The following is a 26,543-nucleotide window of genomic DNA, read 5'->3' as shown; positions in this document are numbered from 1 at the left end:
TCAGGCTGGTCTCTCACTCCCGATCTCAGGTGATCCACAGGCCTCGGCCTCCCAAAGTGCTGGGATTACAGGCGTGAGCCACTGCACTAGGCCACTTATTTTGCTTTTATAACTGAATAATATTCCATTGTTTGTTATGCCACATTTTGTCTATTTATCATCCGATGGATATTTGGATGACTGCGTTTCTACCTTTTGACTACTGTGAAGAGCACTACTAAATTTGTATAAAAGTATTGATTTGAACAACTACTATTAACTCTTTTGAGTTTATACCAAGGAATAAAATTCTTGGGTCATACAGTAATTCTATTTTTAACTTATTTAGGAACTAACATTCTTTTCCACAGCGGTCTCGCTATTTCATACTTCTATAAACAATATATGAAGGTCATAATGTTTCCACAGCCTCAATGATACTTGTTTTTTCTCAGGTTTTTATGGTTGTTGTTGTTCTACTCAGGATGAAGTGGATCTCACTGTGGCTTTGATTTGGATTTCCGTATTGACAATTGATATTGGGTATATTTTTATGTATTTGTTTACTATTTTCTTTAGAGAAATGTCCGTTCAAGTCCCTTGTCCATTTTTAAATTGGTTGCTTGTCTTTTTGTTGAGTTAATGAGTCCATTATGAGCACAGGATGTATTTTCATTTATTTAGTTTTTTAATTTTTTTTCAGTAATATTCTGCAGTTTAGAGTGTAAGAGCCTTACACCTTCTTGGTTAGTTTATTCATTGATTAAGTTTATTTCTAAATATTTAAATGTTTTATATGTTCTTGCAATGGAATTGAGATTTTAATTTTTAAAAATTTGTTTATGGCTGGTATATACGTACACAATTGATTTTAGTGTGTTGATATGTATTCTACAACCATGTTGAATTTGCATATTAATGCTAATAGATTTTTTTACTATTCTTAAGAATTTCCTATATATAACATCATGAAGTCTTTAAATATAAATAGATTTAATTTTTATTTCTAATAGAGATATCTTTGTTTTTCTTGCATAGTTTTCTGTCTTAAACTTCCAGTGTAGTGGTAAAAACAGATTTCTCTGTCTAGTTCCTGATATTAAAGGTAAAACTTTCCATCTTTTGTTATTGAATATAATATATTTGTGGGTTTTCACAAATGCTCTTTATCATGTTAAAGAAGTTCCCTTGTATTCGTAGTTTCTTGAGTGTTTTTATTACAAAAGTGCATTGGATTTTTGCAAATCTTATTTTTTTCTTCATCAATTGAGTTGATCATGTAGTTTTTTGGTCTCTTTCAATTAAAGTTACGTGGATTGGTTTTCTTTTCCTTTTTTTTTTTTTTCTTTTTTGATGGAGTTTTTTGCTCTAGTTACCCAGGCTGGAGTGCAATGGCACAATCTTGGCTCACTGCAACCTCCACCTCCCAGGTTCAAGCAATTCTCCTGCCTCAGCCTCCCGAGTAGCTGGGATTACAGATGCCCACCACCATGCCTGGCCAATTTTTGAATTTTTAGCAGAGATGGGGTTTCACCATGTTGGCCAGGCTGGTCTCTAACTTCTGACCTCATGATCTGCCCGCCTCGACCTCCCAAAGTGCTGGGATTACAGGCGTGAGCCACCGTGCCCAGCCTATGTGGATTGGTTTTCTATGTTGAAACTCCTTGCATTTCTGGGATACATCCCCCTTGGTGAGGGTATACAATGTTTTTACCATTTTTAATATGCTGCTTTATATTTGCTATACTATATAATTATAATTATATATTATATTATAGATTCAAATATTTTCAATACATTATAATTAGTTTTTAGTTTTCTTGTAAAAGTTTTTAGACTTAGTTTTGTTGATTATTATATTTCAATTCTCTGTATTTTTCTATATATTATACATATATTGAAAAGTTTTCTAACTATATCCATAAGATATATTGGTGTATAATTTTTGTTCCTTTTGTTTGACTTTGGTATTAAGGGTAACACTTTCCTCACAGAATGAGCTAGAAAGTATTCTTTCATCTTCTATTTGAGAAAAATTGATATTATCTGAAAATTTCTGATATTATCTGAAAAACTTTCTTTAAATGTTCATAGAATTTGTCAGTGTGGCCATCTCGTCTTGTGTTTTCTTTTTGGGGAGGTTTTGACTACGAATTCAATCACTTTACCTATGGTAAGTCCGGACAGATTTTGCATTTCTTCCTGACTCATTTTTGGTAGTTTGTATTTTTTCAAGAATTTGTCCAGTTTGTTTTGGTTATATAAATTATTGGCATAGAACTAAGTATTCCTTAGTATTCTTATAAATCCTTTTATCCTTTTATTTCTGTTAAAATAGCAGTAATGTCCCCATCTGCAATTTCATTTCTAATTTTAGTGATTTGAGTATTCTCTCCTGCTGTTTTTTTTAGTCAATCTAGCTAAAGGTTTGTCAATTCAAAGAACCAACTTTTAGTTTTGTTGATTCTCTCTATCGTATTTCATTTCTTGATTTCATTTATCTCCACTCTAATCTTTATTATTTTCTTCCTTTCAGTTTCATGTTTAGTTTGCTATTTTTCTGATTCCTTAAGGTGTAACATTAGGTTGTTGATTTGAGATATTTCTTCTTTTATAATGTAGGTACTTATTGATAGAAATTTCTTCCAAGTACTCCTTTACCGCAGTCTGTAAGTTTTGGCATACTGTATATCTTTTTCATTTGTCTCAACATATTTTTTTATTTAGAATTTACTTTGTGATTGCTGCTTTGACTGATTGGTTAAGAGTGTGTCATTTAATTTTCACATATTTATGAACTCTACTTTTTTGTTCCTTTTATCTATACTTATTTCATTGTGATCCCTAAAGATAGTTTGTATGACTTCAATTTTTTTAATATTTTGAGACTGCTGTGGCCTAATACATAGAGGATGTTCCATGTGAACTTAATAAGAATTTGTATTTTGTTGTTGGTATTTTGCTGTTGTTGGATGGACTATCCTGTGCATGTCTGTTAGGTCTGGTTTGTAGTGTTACTCAAGTCATCTTGTCAAGCAACTTCATTGTGCACTGGTTACCAACTTGTCTGAGTCTAGTGAGACAGGACACTCGTGTACAAGTTACCTTAAGTGAATGTATTACTTACAGATATGCAGCAAGGGAGATCAGAGCCTAGTATCCATTGTGAGCTGGTACTCCAAGACAGGAAAGCTGCCCAGGTTGAGTACAGTCTTATATGTGGTGGACCAACTGGTACCACAGTGGAGGGACCCTGAAAAGCAGCCTGCCAATTTCCTTCCCCAGTCTCTTCTTTCCGAGGCTTTTTCATCTGTCTGCTACTTGACCTGGATGGTATCCATTGTCCTAGACTACTGTGGTAGTGTACTTTGCTATAAATGCTTTTGCCAAATGTGATATAAGGTGCTGTTCTTAGACTGAGAATACTTCTAGGCAATATTCTCAATAAAGGCAAACTTCAGATCCAATCCCTCAGCAACCCACCAAACATATCAACACACATCATATGTCTTTGAAAACAGTCATTTTTGCCTCCTCTGGCACAAGCTAGACACACTAGGAATATAGACCACTTATCTCCACAAATAGCACTAAGTTAGAGACTGGAAGATGATAGAAGGTAAGTTAAAATGTCATATGTTCTCTTGTTAATATTTGGCAGTTTCTGTTGTTGTTGTTCTTGTTCTTGTTGTTGTTATTGGAGATGGAGTCTCATTCTGTTGCCCAGGCTGGAGTGCAATGGCATGATCTCGGCTCACTGCAAACTCCGCCACCTGGGTTCAAGTGATTCTCCTGCTTAAGCCTCCTGAGTAGTTGGGATTACAGACGCCTACCACCACGCCCAGCTAATTTTTTGTGTTTAGTAGAGATGGGATTTTGCCATGTTGGTCAGGCTGGTCGGCAGTTTCTTTCATCATCATACATTCCCCTATTTATTGTGAGGTTTTGATTAGAGGTCCAGAGCTTTAAAACAGTTGATTCTGACAGGTTTTGTTAAATTTATCATTGCTTTTGTAGAGGGACTGAATTTTGGAATTCTTACCATCATTGTTGATGTCGTCCTTAGGTCTGTACTCTTAATCACTTCCGTTTAGCTGTTCTGTTGTGAGTTGCTGTGTACCCTGACTCTTACTTCTTCTTCATCCTTATTTCACGTGTTTTCTGTTATGTTTTGTTATCCAGACAAACTGACCGTTTTTAGTTCTTTAAGCTGGTGCCACCATGTTTCTTCTTACTGTGATATCTTCTCGTTCCTGACAAATCCACTTTTCTCTGCTATCCCATGTATCTAATTCAGATTTTTCTCTGTAACTCAATCATTGTTGATTCCTGAGCAAAGATCCTGTGACTTCACAAAGTAGGCCAATTATGCATATCATATTCCTTAGCACTATATATGCATCCTTGTAAAACTTTCATGGTTATATTTCCGTTTGATTCTGTTTTACTTTGGTTAAATGAGGCCAAATTCTGTGTTCTTTTGTATTAATCTGGTCTCATGCTACTAATAAAGACATACTGAGACTGAGTAATTTATAAAGGAAAGAGGTTTAATGGACTCACAGTTCCACATGCTGGGAGGCCTCACAATCATGGCAGAAGATGAAGGAAAAGCGAAGGGATGTCTTACATGATGGCAGGCAAGAGAGCATGTGCAGGGGACTCCCCTTTATAAAACCATCAGTTCTCATGAGACTTATTCACTATCACAAGGACAGCGGAAAATCCCACCCCCATGATTCAATTGCCTCCCACTCTGTACCTCCCAAGACACATGGGGATTATTACATTTCAAGGTGAGATTTGGGTCAGGACATAGCCAAACCATATCAGTCTGCCTCTGGCCCCTGCAAAATCTCATGCACTCAAGTTTCAAAATCAATCATGTCTTCTAACAGTTCCCCAAAGTCTTAATTCATTTTAGCCTTAACCCAAAAGTCCAAGTCCAAAGTCTCATCTGAGACAAGGCAAGTCCCTTCCACCTATAATGCTGAAAAATCAAAAGCAAGTTAGTTACTTCCTAGGTATAATGGGGGTACAGGCATTAGGTAAATATACCCATTTCAAATGGGAGAAATTGGCCAAAAGGAAGGGCTACAGGTCTCATGCAAGTCTGAAATCCAGCAGGGCAGCCAAAACTTAAAGCTTCGTAATGATCTCCTTTGACTCCATTTCTTCCATCTAGGTCACCCTGATGCAAGAGGTGGGTTCCGATGGCCTCAGGCAGCTCTGCCTCTGTGGCTTTGCAGGGTACAGCCCCCCTCCAAGCTGCTTTCATGGGCTGGCATTTTGTGTCTTGTCTTTTCTAGGTGCATGGTGCAAGCTGTCAGTGGATCTACCATTCTTGGGTCTAGAGGACAGTGGCCCTTTTCTCACATCTCCACTAGGCAGTGCCCCAGTGGGCACTCTGTGTGGGGGCTCCAACTCCACATTTCCCTTCCACACTGACCTAGCAGAGGTTCTCCATGAGGGCCCTGCCCCTGCAGCAAACTTCTGCCCAGATATCCAGGTGTTTCCATACATCCTTTGAAATCTATGCAAATCTCAATTCTTGACTTTTATGCACCTGCAGGCCCAAAACCATGTGTAAGCCTCTAAGGCTTGCAGCTTGCACCCTCTGAAGCAATGGCCTGAGCTCTATGTTGCCCCCTTTTAGCCACACCTGGGACATAGGGCATCAAGTCCCAAGACTGCGCAAAGCAGCATGGCCCTAGGCCTGGAACACAAAACCATTTTTTCCTCCTAGGCCTCTGGGCATGTGATGGGAGGGGCTGCTATGAAGACCTCTGACATGCCCTGAAGGCATTTTCCCCATTGTCTTGGTGATTAACATTTGGCTCCTCATTACTTAGGCAAATTTCTGCAACCAACTTGAGTTTCTCCTCAGAAAATGGGTTATTCTTTTCCATTGCATCATTGGGCTGCAAAGTTTATGAACTTTTATGCTCTACTTGCCTTTTAAATATAAGTTCCAATTCCAAACCATATCTTTGTGAATACATAAAATTGAATGATTTTACAGTACCCAAGTCACTTCTTGAACACTTTGCTGCTTAGAAGTTTCTTCTGCCAGATACCCTAAATCATCTCTCTCAAGTTCAAAGTTCTACAAATCTCTAGGGTAGGGTTAAAACGTCACCAGTGTCTTTGCTAAAATATAGCAAGAGTCACCTTTATTCCAGTTTCCAACAGGTTCCTCATCTCCATCTCAAAGCACCTCAACCTGTACTTTATTGTCCATATCACTGTCAGCATTTTGGTCAAAACCATTCCACAAGTCTCTGAGAAGTTCCAACTCTTCCCACATCTTTCTGTCTTCCTCTGAACCCTCCAAACTGTTCCAACCTCTGCATGTTACCCAGTTCCAAAGTCACTTCCATATTTTTGGGTATCTTTACAGCAGCACCCCACTCTACTGGTGCCAATTTACTATATTAGTTCATTCTCATCCTGCTAATAAAGACATACTCAAGACTGAGTAATTTATAAAGAAAAGAGGCTTAATGGACTCACAGTTCCGCATGCTGGGGAGACCTCACAATCATGGTGGAAGACGAAGGAAGAGCAAAGGGACATCTTACATGGTGACAGGCAGGAGAGCATGTGCAAGGAATTTTTCTTTATAAACTATCAAATCTCATGAGGCTTATTCACTATCATGAGAAAAACATGCCCTCATGTTTCAATTACCACCCACTGGGTTCAAGCCATATTATCATTTATCATCACAGTGTTACCCTCACTACCTAGCAGAGTGTCTAGTGCATGGTAGGTACATGGTAAAAATGTACCTAATGAAGAGTGAATTTTTTTTTCCAATATTTCTTTTTCTGGATTTGGTGATACTTTTAAAAATAAAATCACAGTCATTAAAAATCGCAAGTAGTCTTTTTGATGTAAACAATAAGGATAAAAATGCAAAAATCTGAGCCTATAAAAAGTTTAAAAAAATAGTTTTGCAGAGAGGTTTTCCCAAGGCTATAGGATTATATCACATCAATATGGAGGCTTATAGATGAGAGGAAGAAAGATACAATTATTGATATGGTTTGCCTTTATGCCTCCCCCTCAAATCTCATCTTGAATTGTAGCTCCCATAATTCCCATGTGTTGTGGGAGGGACCCAGTGCAAGATAATTGAATCATGGGGGCAGTTTTCCCCATACTGTTCTCATGGTAGTGAATAAGCCTCATGAGATCTGATGGTTTTTTAAGGGATTTCCTCTTTCTCTTGGTTCTCATTCTCTCTTGCCTGCCGCCATGTAAGATGTACCTTTTGCCTCCCACCATGATTGTGAGAATTCCCCAACCATATGGAACTGTGAGTCCATTAAACCTATTTTTCTTTATAAATTACCCAGTCTTGCATGTCTTTATCAGCAGCATGAGAGCAGACTAATACAATTATTGTTTTTGACTTCTGTGCTATTTCATTTCACTGGAATTCAGAAACAGATGTAAACAAAGATTTGTCTAGTGCTTCACAAATGAAGGAAAAAAATATTGTAAATCTCATGGTATATTTCTTAATACTTGAAAGCTACATTTCTTAGTCTGAAAAAAAGTTTCTCTAAACTCAGTAGAAGAAAATGTTATCTTTTCTTTTCAGCTGCTAATACTCCAGCATCTTTACAAGCAGACTTGGCAAACACTCTACTATATTTTAATCACCAAGATAATTTAGGTTGTGAACTATTCTGTATGGTTTTACCAATCACCAATTTTCTCTATTTTTCCTCTACTGAAAATCAACATTCCGGTTTATTTGGAACCATTGTTTTAATCTTTGTCAAATCTGGCAGCATGAACCATGTTTCCTGTATTGGCAAATGCCTACCATCCAAATATATGTATGTGTGCTTATATGTCTAAACATCTCCAGAAATGATTACAGCTTTACTGTTTCTTGATTTAAATGCCATATAAACCTACTTGAAGATTATGAGCCCCCTAAAATATTTTATGTGCTTCAAATCATGCAAAATTTGGAAGATATATCTTCTATGTAAATTAAGGCTTGCTGAGATCATAATAAAGAAATAACTTCTCTGTCTTCATTTTTCTCCACCTCTCATTAGCATTCTGAAGTTGTCTTATTTTACTTTTTGGAAAAAAAAGTTATCTTGATTTCTATCACTGTTCACTTGCTTTGTTTTCATTTTGGATCCTTGGTATTTTGCAAGATTTTTCTACCCTTTTCTCTTCTCTACCCGACCACAAAAGATAGATTGCCCTACTCCTTATTCCTCTTTAATTTTTTTCTCCATTCTAGGCTAGATGATTTTATTTAGAATTCATTGTTTATATGACACATATTTAACAGTATTTCTGGTGAGACATCTGAAGTTTGGTGATTTAGAACTGTAACGATTTGTCTTTCTCACAAATCTTGAGTGGCTAGAGTAAAGACTTAGGCCTGGGACTAGGTTGAAGTCTGATTCATGTGTTTTTCATTTCAGGATCAACAGGTACCCAGAGTATGCTCTTCTCATGACAAATGGCAAAATCCCAATGAGTGAAAATATTTGATGTCTAATAAAGCCTCAGCTTACAACTGGTACATTGTCATCTCTACTCATGTTTTGTTTTTGTTTTGCTGAAGAAACTCACATATCCAAAACCAAAATCATACATTCAAAAAACACATTCTTACCTCAGTGAGGTATCACAAAACCAGGGAGGTAAAGAAAAAATGTTAGCATCAAATATGCTTCATACCATCTGCATGCCAATAACTAAATTTTTTTTCCTGTAATTGACTTATTTAGAAGTTGGTCTTATGTATCCCTATCAGGGTATGTTTAAGAGATGAATTAAATACAAAAGTCAGAAATAAAACACTTTCTGCTTTATAACTATCCCCCATACTATCTAATGTTCATTTATCTTCTCTTAGTATTTTCAATTTACCTAATTACTAAAGGAAAATATTAAGATACTTGTTTAATTCCTTTCTCTTACTCAACTACCACACACATAGCCCCCAGATCTAGTTTATTCTATTTAAAAATATAAACTGAACTTATCCACTATTATCTAATTCAGCTGTGACATCCTCAGTAAAGGTTACCAAGATCTCTCAATGGAGACAATGTAAAACCTTTCATAGTTGGTCTCAGTGCTTCTACTCTTGCTTCTACTCTTCAATCTCCACACAGCAAGTCAGAATATTTTTAGTGTATATTTAAATCAGATAATATTTTTAACCTACTGGCATGTCAGTGTCCTTAGCATGACATCTAAACTTCTGACCACATCCCAGAAAACTCTATATTTTCTGTATTTGGCCTATCTTTCCAGCTTCTGGTTTATTTTTACACTTTGACATCCCTAGCTCCATGCTCATAAAGATCGTTTGCATTTCTTATTCTTTCAGACTAAAAGGCTTTTCATATGGCTCTTTTCATTGCATTCCTGCTTATTTCCTATATGTCAACAGAACTATTACTTCCTCAAAAATGCCTTCTGTGATTACCCTAATTAAAGGAGCTCCCTTCCTTTGCTCCAGCCCGTCTCATCATCTGGTTTCAGGTCTGTTTTGATCATCCCTAAAAATGAGCAACTAGAAGAGTGTTTGACAAATATTTATTGGCATTTTTTAGAATGCTAGGCCATCTTTACAGTAAATTTCTCATTGTTTAATACCTTATTATAAGTGATCATATAATTTCTAATGTATAATTCATTTTTCTTTGAAAAAAGCATTGCTATACATAATACTTCATCTTCATGGAATGAAATGACCATAGACATTAGATTTGGATAATTGTCTAAAATTGCTACAGTCTTAAATTTATTCAGGTTAAAACAATCAAGAAATTAAGTGACTGTTTAAAATGATACATTGAGTTTGGATTCCAGCTGACAATCCTCCAAGATTCATTTACTTCTCAAGAGCACAACATATTGTTAAAAATAACCACCAGATCATTTAGTATTCTACTATCTCCTGATCGGATACACTATTAAAATATTTTGATTGCCTCATTCACCTGGTCTTGCTTAATGGACCATAAGTATTAAGCAGTATTGCTGAGGCTCATTTGTTCAATACATTCTAGATTGAGAGGTTGATTAATTGATTAGTATGACCTAGCAATTCTCATTTAAATGTGGGCTTATTCAAATTAGGTTTTCACTAATTTTGTGATATGTTTTGCATGTTAATGGAATTAGATAATAATTTTGATTTTTACTTGCCAAATTTGTCATAGGAATAAGTTACTAAAAGCATATCATCAAAAATAAATTTTGATGTATAATATATGTATACATATTATATTATAAAATATTTGCAAGCCAAGTAAATTATAACAGTTTAAGATTGTGTTTTTATTGTTTATATATCAGATGCTTTTGATGACTGATCACATCATTTTAAAATTATTTTTTATATTCTATTTATACTAAACTTCATAAAGGTTTTTCCTAGAAATTACTGCTAATATGTTAAACATTCTGTACTATTTTTAAACTCAATATATTCTAATATAAAAATGTGCCTTAACCACAATAGCAAACTAGTGCTTCTCACACCACAATGTTTCAAAATTCACAAAAATATTATTTACTTTTACCTTATATTTTTGGTAAATTAAATATATTTGTGTACATTAATGCTATAAAGTAGTAATACAATTTGTATCATTTTATAGCATGGATTATAAACTTATTCATATTTCATGATACAATGCATATATTCACACTATAAATAACTTATATATGTATGGGTATTCATACAATTTGAACATTAGTCATATAGACGTGTACAGAACCCACACTTCACTCATGTAAACACTTTTTACTCATTTAAGACAAACCTCAAAAAGAAATTACTATGCATATATAAAATATAAATATATAAACATGAACAAAAGATGAACTTAATTATATAATATTTGCTTTTGTCCTTAATTTAAGAACTGTGAACATTTGCCACATTTATTTACAATTTATATGAAAAATTAGAACACTTTATATGTAAGTACATCTTTGTGTACCATGCTGACAAAAGAACACTGTGAAGACTTACATTGAAATTACAGGTTTGGTTCTAGACCACTGCAATAAAATATTTTTGTTCTCTAGTGCATATAAAGTTATGTTTAAAGTATACTATATTCTGTTAAGTCCACAGTAATATTATATCTACAAAAACAGTATGTATAGCTTAACTGAAAAATTCTTCATTGTTAAAATATGCTAACAATCATCTGAACCTTCAGCAAGTCATAGTCTTTTAGCTTGTGGAGGGTCTTGTCTCAATGTTGATGGCTGCTGGCTATCAGGATGGTGGTTGCTGAATGCTAAAGAGACTGTGCCAAATCTTAACATAACACAACAATGAAATTTACCACATCGGTGCACAGTTCCTTTTACACAAGATTTCTCTGTGGCATGTGTTGCTGTTTGACAGCGTTTTACCCACAGTGGAGCTTCTTTCAAAATTTAAGGCAATTCCCTTTAAGCCTGCCATGGTTTCATGAACTAAGTTTTTGTAAGATTTTAAATAATTTGTTGTTATTTCAACAATGTTCACAGCACCTTCACAAGAAGTACATTCCATCTTAAGAAACCATTTTATTTGCTCCTTCATAAAGAACTCCTTATCTATACAAGTTTTATCATGAGATTGCAGCAGTTCAATCGCATCTTTAGGCCCTTCTTCTAATTCTAGTTCTCTTGTTATTTCTACCGTATTTGTATTTCCTTCTTCCACCGAAGCCTGAACACCTTAAAATGATTCATAATGATTGAAATTAACCTCTTTTAAACTCCTGTTAATATTGATAATTTGACCTCCTCCCATGAACCACACATTCTTAATGGCATCTAGAATGGTGAATCCTTTCCAGAATGTTTCAATATGCCAAGATCCATAAGTGGAATCACTATCTATGGTATCTATAGCCTTATAAAATGTATTTCTTAATAATATTGAAAGTTATAATTACTCCTTTTTCTATGGACTGCAGAATGAATGTTATGTTAGCAGGGATGAAAACAATATTAATCTCCTTTCACCTCTTCATCAGATCTCTTGGGTAAGCAGGTACTTTGTATATTAACAGTAATATTTTGAAAGGAGTCTTTTTTTCTCACCAGCAGTTCTCAACAGTGGGCTTAAAATATTGAGTAAACCATCCTGTAACCAGACGTGCCATCATCCAGGACTTGTTCCATTTATAGTGCACAAGCAGAGTAGAAATAACATATTTCTTCAAGGCCCCCAGGGTTTTCAGAACGGTATTCTGAATTGGCTTCAAATTGGCTTCAATTTAGTCATCAGCTGCATTGGCCTCTAACAAGAGTCAGCCTGTGATTTGAAGCTTTGAATTTAGTCTATGATGTCTCCTCCATAGCTGTGAAAATCTTAGATGATGTCTTTTTCCAATATAAGGCTTTTTTGTCTACGTTGAACATTTGTTGTTTAGTGTAGTTACCCTCAGCAGTGATCTCAGGTAGTTTTCCTGGATAGCTTGTCACAACTTCTACTCAGCACTTGCAACTTCACCTTGCACTTTTCTATTAATGGGGATGGGTTCTTTCCTTAAACCTTAAGATCCAACTTCTGCTACCTTCGAACTTTTCTTCTGTAGCTTCCTCACCTCTCTCCCGCCTTCCCTGAATTGAAGACACTTAGGGCCTTGCCCTGGGTTAGGCTTTTTAATAAGGGAATGTTGTGACTGTTTTAATATTTTATACAGACTGTTAAAAACTTTCTCCATATCAGTAATAAGGGTGTTTCACTATCTTATCATTCCTTGTATCACTGAAGTAACACTTTTAATTTCTTTCACCAAATTTTTCTTTAAATTCACAACTTGGCTGCTTGGTACAAGAGGCCTAACTTTTTCAGCCTATATCAGCTTGCTTGCTTTTTTTTTTTTTTTTTTTTTTTTTTTTTTGAGACGGAGTCTTGCTCTGTCGCCCAGGCTGGAGTGCAGTGGCGCAATCTCGGCTCACTGCAAGCTCCACCTCCCGGGTCCACACCATTCTCCTGCCTCAGACTCCCGAGTAGCTGGGACTACAGGCACCCGCCACCATGCCCAGCTAATTTTTTATATTTTAGTACGGACGGGATTTCACCATGTTAGCCAGGATGGTCTCTGTCTCCTGACCTCGTCATCTGCCTGCCTCGGCCTCCCAAAGTGCTGGGGTTACAGGCGTGAGCCACCACGCCCGGCCAGCTTTCAGTATCCCTTCCTCACCATGCTTAATTATTTCTAGCTTTTGATTTAACCTGAGAGGTGCACTACTCTTCCTTTCACTTGAACACTTAAAGGCCATGTAGGATTATTACTTAACCTAATTTTACTATTGTTGTGTCTCATAGAATAGGCCTGAGGAGAGGCAGAGAAACAGATGAATGGGTGGTTGGTGGAACAGTAATGACATACACAACATTTAGCAATTAAGTTATCTGACTTATGTGGTTGTAGTTTGTGGCAATTTGAGACAATTCCATTAGTAACATAAGAGATCGCTGAACACAGAGCATCATAACAGATAAAATAATAATGAAAAGTTTGAAATATTGTGAGAATTGCCCAGCCGTCACACAGAGACATGAAGTGAGCATATGCTGTTGGAAAAGCCAATACATGCTCAGTGCAGGGTTTCCACAAACATTCCATTTGTTCAAAAACTCAGCATCTGCAAGGCACAATTAAGCAAAGAATAATAAAACAAGGCATGTCTGTATTGTAAAAACAAAGGAACGTTTTTCTCAAAATTTTAATGCAAATACCTAAAAACAACTTTGAAGGTCACCGCTGGGATTCAGCTAAAAGCCTCCAGCAGAGTTGCCGCAGGTGCGCACACGGATGACAGTTCATCGATTCTGTCAGAACCACTTTTCCATGAGCAGCACCCTCTCCATCTCAAAATTCTATTTTAAGTAATGTCACATATTTTGTTCAGTTTATCAGCATCACATGCAAATATATGCTAATTTTGTTTAAAAGAAGTGTTTCTGACTATAAAATAACATGCCTCACTATAAATAATTCCTCTACATCAAAGGAAAAAAAAATAAAGAAAAACAGTTGAATAATCCTGCCACTTAAATGTAACGAACATCGATCGATTTTATATATTAAAATTACATAAAATATAAGCCCCATTTACTTGTCCAAAATTGAAAGCATCTCAATTAATTATTAATATATTTTTACATATTATCATAAGAATGTTGTCTAGTGTGATAAATTTATTTTCTAAATTATAGGTTTAAATGCTTTATAATTTTTATGAATATAACTTATTTGAGTAGTACAATATTAATGAATTTTTTAACATGTCCTCTTAAGATAACTCTTCTTATACATAAATTTTCAAGAGCATCTCTCCTTATTTTCTAAAAATAATTTCTTAGAACAGCACTGTCTAGTAGGTCTTTCTGTAGTAATCAATGTGTTCTATATCTGTATTATATAATTCAGTAGCCACTGGCAACTCTGGCTATTAAGCCCTTGAAATGTGACTACTCAGACTGACAAATTTATTTTTAAATTGTATTTAATTTAGATCAATTAAAATTTATGTTTAAATAGTAACACATAACTAGTGGCTAACATATGAGAAAGTTCATTGAATATATTAAGAAAACAGTGGGCCAAAAAGTATCAAGCTTTCTTTAGCTGTAATTAAAATATTAGATTCAGCTGTATAGATCCCAGATATCTTCTATTTTCTTCTTAAAGAAAAAATTTTATCTGATTACTTCCTCTGTTTCAATTCTTAATTTCTTCCTGGAAAATACCTTTCATTCTTATGTTAGACCACCATATTCTTTCTTTTCCAATTGTCAGTTTATCTCTCATCATTTTGTTTGTATTCTTGTATAGTACTCAAATTGTCCACATACTTGATAAAATTCCCATCTCCATCCATTTTAATGGCATTATTACAAAACTTTATTTCCAGCCTTTCTTATGTATTTGTTTCACACTATTTGGTGACTTTTAAATTTTTTTTTTCTGGCATAAATAATTTTCTGAATCTCTATGTCTATGTTTTGTTTTCCTTGCTTCACAGTAAACACAATGGTGTTTTCCATAATCACAGTGGTGTTCAATTTTGTACTTATTTGTCCATAATTTAGATGCTAAGATCTATTATGCCTTTACCTCACCCAAAAGACTTCATATATGGATGAAATTTTAACCTACTTTGGGTTTCCTCTGAGTGATATTCGAGCCTATTCTCATATGGAAGACAGAGTGAATTAATAGTCCTCTCATTCTAGTTTTGGTGTGTGTACCTTGGAGTACACACACAAAAATAATAATCCTAAGTTTGGATAGCTATAGGGGCTTTTTTTTCTGCCCCTCCTACAGATATTCCTTTCTCTCTACTCTGTTTACCAGAACACAATTCACAAGGACAAGTCATACTCTACCTGTCTGCTCCTCTGATTTCTGGAAATTTCTCTCTCTAAATGGGTATGGATAGATGCAAGAATATTTGGTTGAAAATCAGAGTTAGAAAGTCAGTACTTTGGATGACTATATCTTATACCTCAGAGTTAGAGAAGAGTCAGAGAATATATATATAAAGCTTTTGTCTTGTTTTTATTTATAAAGTAAGACCTACAGTCTCTTAACAGTCCTGTTCCATCAAAATTTTTTCTAACAGTATGCCAATAGATGGTTTGCATGTTATGTCTCAGATAGAAAGCTAGTCTTCTATATTTTTCTCTGTGATAGCAGTTTTGGTTGGGATTCTACAAACTACATTTTTCAGATTCTTTTACCAAGTGACTTCCTGTTAGAATATGAAAATAATAGAGATGCTTAAAGGTATCAGCAGCACCAACACAAGCCCTTTCCTAGGAGATATGAATATTCAATTTGTGGTACTTCTCTGAACTTCAAGGTTCCTGTAACTCCAATACTTCTCCTATTCTCCCATCTGTAAGAGTAATAGGTTTTCTTGAAGTTTTTATATTTGGTTAATTCAGGATTTAATATCGCTAATACTCGTGTAAACACTTCCCCATTTTACATTTCCTCTTAAAATTACCTAGGAATAGTTTGTGTTTTTCCAGTTAGACACTGACTAGTATATTTATCTCTCACTTTTCAGTAACCATGTTCGTTTGCTTCGTGTGTGTGTGTGTGTGTGTGTGTGTTTGTACGACTTTATAGGTAAATTAAAACATCAGGAAAGGCTGCATGCAGGGACTTGCTAGTCAAGAGGCCATTATAATCAAGAATTATAAAATATTTATTTTAAAACTTTGTCTAAAACTTAACACTGAGAAATTTAAAATCTCATTAAATATATTATAAAATTATCTACGTTCTTCATGCTACAAGTGATTTTCTATTTTTGCAATTGTCAGTTACATTTAAATTTACCCCCATTATCTTTTTATTCATGATTCCTTTCATGTGGTTTTCCTCTATAATACACTATTATTTATTTTCTTTGCCATGTACTTACAACGCTGCTGTCCCCTTCCAAGCTTTCCACAACTGAGATCATGCCAATTGATTTAATAATATGAGGCTATTTTCCAGTGAGCATAGTAACTGCAGTCTTTGTTTTAATTGTTTGAAAATTATCCTTTTTATCTTAAATGAAATTATTAAACGTCATCATTGGCCAAAATCAATTTTACCAGATATTATGCCTTCATATGTAAGTGGGAAGATAATTCTGCCATGATTCAGACTTTCCTCTATTCTGTCATTATTTAAACCCCCTAAGGAAAAAGAGACAAATAGGATTCCAATGGGAAAGTTCCCATGTAATCAACTCCAACAAACACTGTTTCACAAGAGTCAAGACTGAAACATTATGCCTGTGAAACTCATGAGACTTAGCATATTACGCATTCGCATGTAATTTGTCAATTCTAAAGCACTTTAAAATTTTAGAATTCAATCCTATGCCTGTGTTTATGTCTTCATGTTTTGGACATTTCATGTTTGGTAACATATATCACTGTTTTCCTTTTCTTCTCAGCTGTCATTAATTTGATCCATTTCACTATTAATTTAATATTTTGTCAACTCTCAACTACAGTCTCTGTACAAAGTTAAAATGCTCTACATGTTTTCATTACTTCCCACTGCTCTTATTTCTCTTCTCCTAACTGTTCCTCTCTGTTCATTGTGCTGGATGCAATACAGACTTTCTTACTCTCTTAAAGTCAACCTATTTCCCACCTGGGGCTTTTATATGTGTTGTTCCCTTTGTCTGTAATGCACTTCTCCCATATCTCCACATGGCTACTTCCTTCAACATTACTTAGGTCTCTGAAATTGTTAGCTCCTTAGATTGGTGATCCCTGACCATAGTATGTACAATGCTCCCTCCAGTAACCCTCAGAAAGCTTAGCAGGCTTTCTTGTAACGCATTGCACTTCCTCCACCTGAAAGTATATGTTATATGTTTTGGGTTCTATGTCATCCCCACAAACATGTATGTTCCATCATCTTAGAAACTCTTTCCAGTGCCTATAACAGTGCCTGACACATAATACATATTAAATAATATTTTCAGATTAACAAATGCATAAAACATTAAATTGGGCCAGAAAATCAAGCTGAGGGCTCAAGGATATGAAAATAAACATTCCTTGTTGTGTTTATATTACTCTATATTAAGTGGGGGATCATTAAGTGGGGGATAAAAATGGTATTAATAAATCCTGATTTGTGGAGCAAATAATTGTTTCATTCTCACATATTTTTTCTTTTAATATAGCAGAAAGCTTGGAGTTTTTTCAAGTACTATGATTAGTTCAGTTTACTGAGAGTCCAGTAATAAATATACATAGGAAGTAAAAATTAAAAAAAAAAACTTCCCCACACACTGGGCTTTGCTGCTATTACATTTTACTACCTGATTTATTCCTCACAACCATTTTGTGAAAACTATCAAAATTATTTTTATTATTTTGCATATTAAAAGACAATCTTACCTTAAAGTGCTTCAGGAAACAAAAATAGGGCTTACTTTCAGAAGCCCTGATGCCATTCAGTAAGGCACTGGAATAACATCAAATTAGTTGTAGATTATTATTGTATTTGCAAGTATTTTCAACCTGTTGGGCTTATGTTTTATGTTTAAGTCCTATTTTTGAGGAATTATGAGTAATATATCTTACAATATTATTTTATTCAGGATGCACGTGAGTAGGTTTGTGACTTGAATGTATTGCATAAGGGTGAGGTTTGGGCTTTTAGTATATTCATCATCCAATATTGGACATTACCCAGTAGGTAATTTTTTAAGCATCAATCCCCTCCAACCATATCCACTTTGGGCATCACTGGTGTCTATTATTTCCATCTTTATGTTCCCATTGTTTAGCTCCCACTCATAAGTGAGAAGGTGTGGTACTGATTTTTCTGTTTGTAAGTTATTCATTTAGGATAATGGCCTCCAGCTCTATCCATGTTGCAGCAAAGGAAATGACTTCATTCCTTTTATGGCTGAATAGTATTCATGGTTTAGATATATAACATTTTCTTTATCCAATCAACCATTGATGGACACATAGCTTGATTCCGTGACTTTGCTCTGGTGAACAGCTCTGCAATAAACAGACAAGTGCAGGTATCTTTTTGAGATAATGATTTCTTTTCCTTTGTGTAGATGACCTGAAGTAATATTGCTGGATCAAATGGTAGTTGTAGTTTTAGTTCTTTGATACATCCCCACACTATTTTCCATAGAAGTTATATTAATTTACTTTCCCTCAACTGTTTATAAGTGTTCCCTTCTTCTCTCCACATCCTTGTCAAAATCTGTTGTTTATGCACATTTTAATAATACCCATTCTGACTGGTATAAGATTTCTCAATTTGGTTTAATTTGCATTTCTCTGATGATTCGTGATGTTGAGCATTTTTCATATGTTTGATAGGTACTTGTATGTCTTCTTTTGAGACATGTCTTTTCATTTCCTTTGTCCACTTTTTAATGGGATTGTTGGTTTGACATAATTTGCAAATACTTTCTCCCATTCTGCAGGTGGTCTATATACTTTATTAATTATTTCTTTTGTTAGGTAGAAGCTTTTCAGTTTAATTCCCAGTTATCTATTTTTGTTTATGTTGCATTTGCTTTTAGGGTAGTAGTCATAAAGTCTTTGCTTAGGCCAATGTGGTTTTCCTAGGTTTTCTTCTAGGACTTCTATAGTTTCAGGCCTTACATTCAGATCTTTAATACATCTTGAGTTAATTTGTATATACTGTTAGTGATAGTCCAGTTTCATTGTTATACGTAGACTAGCCAATTTTTCCATCACCATTTTTTAAATGGGGAGTCCTTTCCCTATTGTTTATTTTTGTTGACTTTGTCAAAGATCAGTTTGCTGTAGGTATGTGGCTTTACTTTTAGGTTGTCTACACTTTTCTACTGATCTATGTGTTTATTTTTATATCAGTACTTGATCTTTTGGTTCGTATACCCTTGTAGTATGTGTTATCGTCAGGTAATGTGATGTCTCCGGCTTTGTTCTTTTAGTTTAGGATTGTTTTTGCTATTTAGGCTCTTGTGTGGTTTCATATGAATTTTACAATTGCTTTCTCTAATCCTGTGAAGAATGACATTGCTACTTGATAGGAATTGCATTCAATCTGTAGACTGCTTTGGGCACTATGGTACTTTTAACAATATCAATTCTTCCAATCCATGAACATGAGATGTCTTTTAATTTGTTGTGTCATCTACAATTTTTTTTTTTCATCAGTGTCTTTTAGTTCTTCTTGTAGAGATCTTCCACTTAATTCTTTAAGTGTATTCCTAGGTATTTTTTGTTTGTGCATGTGGCTATTTTAAACAGGATTGAGTTTTTTATATGGTTCTCAGCTCGAATGTCATTAGTGTATGGAAATGCTACTGACTTTTGTACATTGATTTTGAATCTTGAAACTTTACTGCCTTTATGTATCAACTCTAGTACTACTTTGGAGTTATTAGGGGGTTCTAGTTATAAAACCATGCCATCAGTGAATAGAGATAATTTGACTTCCTGTTCTCTAATTTGGATGCCTTTTATTTATTTTCCTTGCCTGATTGCTCTAGCTACGAATTCAACTACTATGTTGAATAGTATTTTTGAGAGGGAACATCCTTTTCTTGGTCCAGTTCTTAGGGGGAATGCTTTCAACTTTTCCCCATTGAGCAGATTGTTACCTGTGGGTTTGTCACATATGGCTCTTATTATTTTGATGTATTTTCCTTCAATTGCTAGTTTGTTGAGGGTTTTCATCTTGAAGAAATGTTGGATTTTATCAAATACTTTTTCTGAATCTATTAAGACAATCAAATGGTTTTCGTTTTTAATTTGGTGTATGTGGTGGATCACATTCATTGATTTGCAAATGTTGAATTGCCCTTATATCCCTGGAATAAAACCCACTTGACTATGATGAATCATCTTTTTGATGTCAGATTCAGTTTACTTGCATTTTGTTGAGGATTTTTACATCCATGTTCGTCAGAGATAATGGTCTGTAGTTATTTTTGGTGTTGTCATTGCATGATTTTAGTATTACAGTGATACTTGTTTCAGAGAATGAGTTAGGGAGGAATCCCTTCCCAAATTTTTGGAATAGTTGCAGTAAGATTGGTAGCAGCTCTTGTTTGTGCATCTGGTAAAAATCAGCTCTGAATCTGTTGGTCCTGGGCTTATTTTTATAATTTTTTTTTTAATTGATTCAATTTTATTACTCATTATTGGTCTGTTCAGGATTTACATTTCTGCTTGGTTCAATTTTCGGAGGTTGTATGTTTCCAGGAATTATTTACATCCTTTAAGTTTTCTAGTTTGTGCACATACAGCTGATGTTCACACTAATCTTTGGTGATCTTTTCTATTTCTGTGGCATGTATCAGATGTGATGTCACCTTTATCATTTATGATTGTGCTTATCTGAGTCTTCTGTCTTTTTTTGGTTAAACTATCTAGCAGTCTATTGATTTTGTTTATCCTTTCCAATAAACAACTTTTCATTTTGTTGATCTTTTGTATCATTTTTAAGTCTCAGAATCATTTAATTCTCTTCTGATATCTGTTATTTCTTTTCTTCTGCGAGCTTTGACTTTGTTTCCTCTTGCTTTTCTAGTTCCTTGAGATGTGACATTAGGATTTTAAATTGAGATTCTTCTCTTTTTGATGTAGGGACTTAACACAATTAGCTTTAGTGTTATCACAGCTTTTGCTATATCACAGAGGTTTTGGTATGTTGTGTTTCCATTTTTCTTTGTTTCAAAACTTTTGGATTTCTTCCTTAATTTTATTGTTTACCTGAAAGTCATTCAGGAGCAAATTGTTTTGTTTATATGTACTTATGTGGTTTTGAGAGTTCTTCTTGGTAATGATTTTTACTTTTATTCTGCTCTAATCTGAGAAAATACTTCATGTGATTTTGATTTTTTGAATTTATAGAGATGCTTTATGACCAAGCATATGGTCAAATGTTCCATGTGTAGATGAGAAAAATGTATTCCCTCTGGTTGTTCAGTGGAATGTTCTGTAAATGTCTATTAGGACCACATAGTTTAGAGTATAGTTTAAGTCAGGGTTTGTTTACTTTGTACTTCGATTAGCTGTTTAGTGTTGTCAGTGAGGTGTTGAAGTTCCCAATTAATATTGTATTGCTATTAATCTCTTTTCTTAGGTTAAGTAGAAATTGTTTTATAAACCTGGGTGCTCTGGTATTGGATGCATGTATATATTTAGAATAGTTAAATATTCTTGTTGTATTGAAACCTTTATCATTATATAATGCCATTCTTTGTTAATGTTTTTAACTGTTGTTTCTTTGAAGTCTGTTTAATATAAGAATGGCTAGTCATTCAGACTTTTGTTTTCCATTTGTGTGCTATATCTTTTACTACCCCTTTACTTTGAGTATATATGTGTCTAGCCATTAGACCCCCTATAGGTTCTCTCATAGGCAGCCGACAGTTGGAGATAGATATATATATATATTCTTCTAGAATATATAAAGAATATATAAATATATTCTTCTAGAATATATAAATATATTCTTCTAGAATATATAAATATATTCTTCTAGAATATATAAATATATTCTTCTAGAATATATAAATATATTCTTCTAGAATATATAAATATATTCTTCTAGAATATATAAATATATTCTTCTAGAATATATAAAGAATATATAAATACATTCTTCCAGAATATATAAATACGTTCTTCCAGAATATATAAATACGTTCTTCCAGAATATATAAATACGTTCTTCCAGAATATATAAATATGTTCTTCCAGAATATATTATTCTGGAATGTAGAATGTTTAGGCTATTTATGTACATGGTTAATATTTAAGTAGAATTATTAATATTTAAGTTCAAGGGTATTTAACTGGAATGTTAATATTGATATGTGAGGTTTCATTTTATTCCTGTTATAGTTTTGTTAGCTAGTAACCTTGGAGTCTCAATTGTGTAATTGCTTTGTGTAATGTGTGAGCTTTCTTATATATGCTTTTATGATGGAGAGTATTGTCCTTTTATTTCCATGTTTAGAACTCTTTTGAGCATTTCTTATAGGTCCAATCTGGAAGAAATTCCCTTAGTGTTTCCTCACTGGGAAAGACTTTATTTTTTCTTCGTTTATGATGCTTAATTTGGCAGGATATAAAATTCTTGGCTTTTTTTTTTTTTAAGGAGGCTAAAAATAGGGCCTCAATCTCTGGCTTCCTCTAGGAAGTCTGCTGTAGTCTGATGGCATTTTCTTCATTCAGATGATTTGATACTTCTCTCTAGCTTCCTTTAAGATTAGTTCTTTCATGTTGACTTTGTATAATCTTATGACTGTATGCCTTGGTAATGTACATTCTGTATAATATATTCCAGGTATTCTCTAAATTTATTGTATTTGAATGTCTACATCTCTAGCAAGATTGGGGAAATTTTCCTCAATTATTTTCTCAATTATGTTTTTCATAGTTTTACTAGTTCTCTCTCATTAATGCCTATAAGCCGTAGATTTGGTCGCTTTACATAACCCATATTTTTCAAAGCCTTTGTTTGCTTTCTGAAATCCTTTTTGTTACTGTTTTTTTCTGACCATATTGATTTGAAAGACTGGTATTCAAGCTCTGAAATTCTTCTGCTTTTTTCTACTCTACTGTTAAAGCTTTCAGCTGTGTTTTAAATTTTCTTCAGTTTTTTTTTATTTCCAGTTATTTAAAAAATATATCTATTTTGTCTTTTATCTCATGAATTGTTATTCCACTTTCTTTGAGTTGGTTTTTAACCTTCTCTTGAATCTCACTGAGATTACTTACAATGCATATCTTAAATTCTTTGTTTGAATTTGGTCATTTCAATGTTTTGATTTTGGTTATGATCCATTGCTAGGAAGCCAGGATGGTCCATAACATGTGTCATAATATCCGTTATTTTGTTGTACTGGAGTTCTTGGACTGGTTTCTTTTCATATGTAGATGCTGTCATTTATTATTTTTAAATTAACTTTCATTTACATGACTTTTTTCTTCCTCCTTGAGAGTGTGACTGTTGCACATGTCAGGTAGAGTCCTTTGCTTTGCGTTTATGGGGCCAAGGCTCTGTATAAATTCCTTGGTTATAGATAGCCTGAGTGTAGTATAGTAGTGTAGGTTTTCTTAAGTGCTAGTTTTTTTGTGGGTTGTGGTAGCAATATGCTGTGTATGTGGTCAGGCTCACTGTCTCCTACAGAGATGGTGAGGTACAGGGCTTGGGTTGCATATCTAGTTCCCTAGCACTGCACACTGCTGTAAGCAAGAATTATGTTGGGTTGTGCAGCTCACCCTACCAGCAAGTAGGTGACAATTTTGGCTAAAAGCCAGTTAAATGGTATAAACTGGTTTCAGCAGTTGTGATGGGCCATGCAGTTTGACCTCCTAGCCAGTAGATGATACTTCCAGGCAAGAGGTAATTGTGGTGGTGGCAGTGGAATTTTTACATAGCCTTTGTTGATCAGGAGTAGTACTGGGATATTTCTGGTGATGGGCAGTGCCTGGACTCTCAGGGTTTCCATCCTGTGCTCTGCCACTAAGGTGGCTTGAGAGGGCAAAGCTGTGCGGCACTGGGTCTGGTGAGCTGGCAGCCAGGCTCTCTGAGGCAGGTGCAAGTACCAACCTTAGCAGGTGTCTAGTGGAAGCTCTCAGGCCTCATGGACGACCCTCCAGAAAGGGTTGGAGGTGCCTCTCCTGCACCACAGAGCTGGCTCAGAGGAAGAGCCAACTCATACACCCTCTTATTGGTGAGTCTCCCTCTGGCATCCACTCTGGCAACTGGCCCTACAAGTTAGTCTGACCCAAAACCATTTGTGCCCAGATCACAAAGCTATTCTAGGCATCTCGATGGTGAGATTTCCTGCAGCAGAAACCACAGCTGTCAGGCAATAAGCTTTTCAGTCAGGTCTAAAGAAGGGAGGGGTACCCAGCTTCCTCATCACCATACCTTTCTCTATGTTTTGACAGTGTGGACTCCTCCCCTGCTGGAGATCAGGCCGCAGATGTCATCTTCATACATCCCAAACTGTGTGCTAGAGTTCTGGGGAACTGGAACCAGGCCAAAGGGTTTGTCCTCTAGCCGCTAGGGGTCAAGCTGTGATGAGGGTGAACTTGTCCAGGCCACCAACAGACTACTCAGGGAAATGGAAGATATGCTTCACAGCTTTCACAAACAGCTAGACAAGACATTTCTGAATTTATATATATGTAATATTATGTATAATTTTCCAAGTTATTTTGTACCCATTCTATTATTAAATATCAGCCATCAGAATAAATAGCAAAATATATTGTGTCAATATACAGAATACCCGATTTCCTTTATTTTTTATTACTTTGATAGTGGTGTAATATGAGTTTTAATATTTTAAATAAAATTAGCATGATACATTATTCATCAGAGATTATATATGTCTCAGCATGTAAGCCATGGTTGTAAAATACATTTTTTTTTTTTAGATGGAGTCTCGCTCTGTCACCCAGGCTGGAGTGCACTGGTGCAATCTTGGTTCACTGTAACCTCTGCCTCCTGGGTTTAAGCTATTCTCATGCCTCAGCCCCCTGAGTAGCTGGGACTACAGGTGTGCGTCACCACGCCCAGCTTATTTTTGTATTTATGTAGAAATGGGGTCTCGCCATGTTGCCCAGGCTGGCCTCAAACTCCTGGCCTCAAATGATGTACCTGCCTCGGCTTCTCAAAGTGCTGGAATTACAGGCATGAGATACTGTGCACAACCACACACACACACACACAAAATCATTTTTTTGTGTGGCTTAGCAATGTTCATGACCTCCAGACCACAAGCAATGACATCTGTTCTGGACCATATAGGTGTTATTGCTTTGAAATAGTTATAGGACAAAACAGAATAAGAGAGATAAACTTTATCCATGGCATAAAATACATATTTGAAATCCATATATATTTTAGATAGCTCACACTAAATGAACAAATTATGTAAAATTCAGAAATGGCAGCAATGGATAATAATTAGTTATACATTAGCATAAGATGGTGGAAGATGACATTATTCACCACGTTATTTGTAGAAAGATTTTTCAATTTAGTCATCCTCTAATGATTAACCTAGCCAATGGAGCCACTTAGAGCACATAAAGAAGAGTATTAAAACTATAACTAATTTATAAAGGAAATTAGTTACATTATTAAAATATATCAGGCATATTTACTACTTATTGTATATGTGTCCTTTTAGTAATAAAATGCTGGAATTTAGTAAAAGACAAAGCATTTAGAAGACATTTATTCATTTATGTTAACATACTAAGTCAATAATTTGTGCTTTTAAATTTAAATGTTATGTCAGATATTTTTTTCTGCAGCCAGCAGTGTTTCCCCTCCACCACAGAAAGCCTCTAATCTTTATGTGCACCTTTCATAGCAAGATTTTACCTATAGTAAACTGAGAACTTTCTTTAGGCTCAGGTGTGGTCTTATTCTATTGTAGTAAACAATATATCGTCAATAGATAGTTATAACTAATTTTTATGTATCATCCATAATACATCTATTCAAAATAAAGTATCACTATGTTCTAATATCTTAAAAGAGACAGCCCCTAGAAAACTTTAAAAACTGTCATTTTTACATAAAACATGAAAAACAGTCTTTAGAATACATTTTTATTCTCATTTTCAGGCAAAATGAATTACAGTTTTTCTTCTGTTTCTATTCCCTAATTTTTCTTCTATTTGTTCAGTTTATTTGATTTTATTACTATTTAATTTTTTCTTAAATGCAGATATGAACAGGAAGCTTGAGAAAATTTTGTGGCTAAGCAATTTTTTAATATTTAGAATTTCGAGAAATATGAAAGATGTTAGAGCAATTTAAAGAACAGAGGGATGACAATACTCAAATGAAAGTAAAAAGTGTTCAATAATGAAGAAATATGGGTCATGGTATATACACATTTATATACAATAACTGTACTTCGTGTCAATTCTTAGCTTTCTTTTTAAAAATCACCTTCCTCTTAGTTTAGCATCTCTTCTTTTCTCTTTTGTCTCTCTGACAAGTCCCTTTCTTTTAATTTACTCTGGC

At 34.6% G+C, this 26,543-nt stretch overlaps 1 protein-coding gene and 1 long non-coding RNA gene across 3 annotated transcripts in view; both read left to right on the top strand.

The window, feature by feature from the left end:
• Positions 1 to 26,543, top strand: part of EYS (eyes shut homolog) — a 1,987,247-nt gene that overhangs the window by 480,181 nt on the left and 1,480,523 nt on the right. The gene's annotated exons all lie outside the window — the stretch shown is intronic.
• On the top strand, positions 447 to 9,417 carry LOC107986607 (uncharacterized). The gene is made up of 5 exons (XR_001744187.1): positions 447 to 522; positions 1,018 to 1,084; positions 2,074 to 2,152; positions 8,439 to 8,536; positions 9,356 to 9,417. It is a non-coding gene; the product is annotated as an uncharacterized LOC107986607 (long non-coding RNA).

The sequence above is a fragment of the Homo sapiens genome, chromosome 6, assembly GCF_000001405.40.
Source record: "Homo sapiens chromosome 6, GRCh38.p14 Primary Assembly".
NCBI lineage: Eukaryota > Metazoa > Chordata > Mammalia > Primates > Hominidae > Homo > Homo sapiens.
The sequence above is the reverse complement of the archived record's forward strand: the minus strand, read 5'-3'. Positions and strand labels throughout refer to the sequence as shown.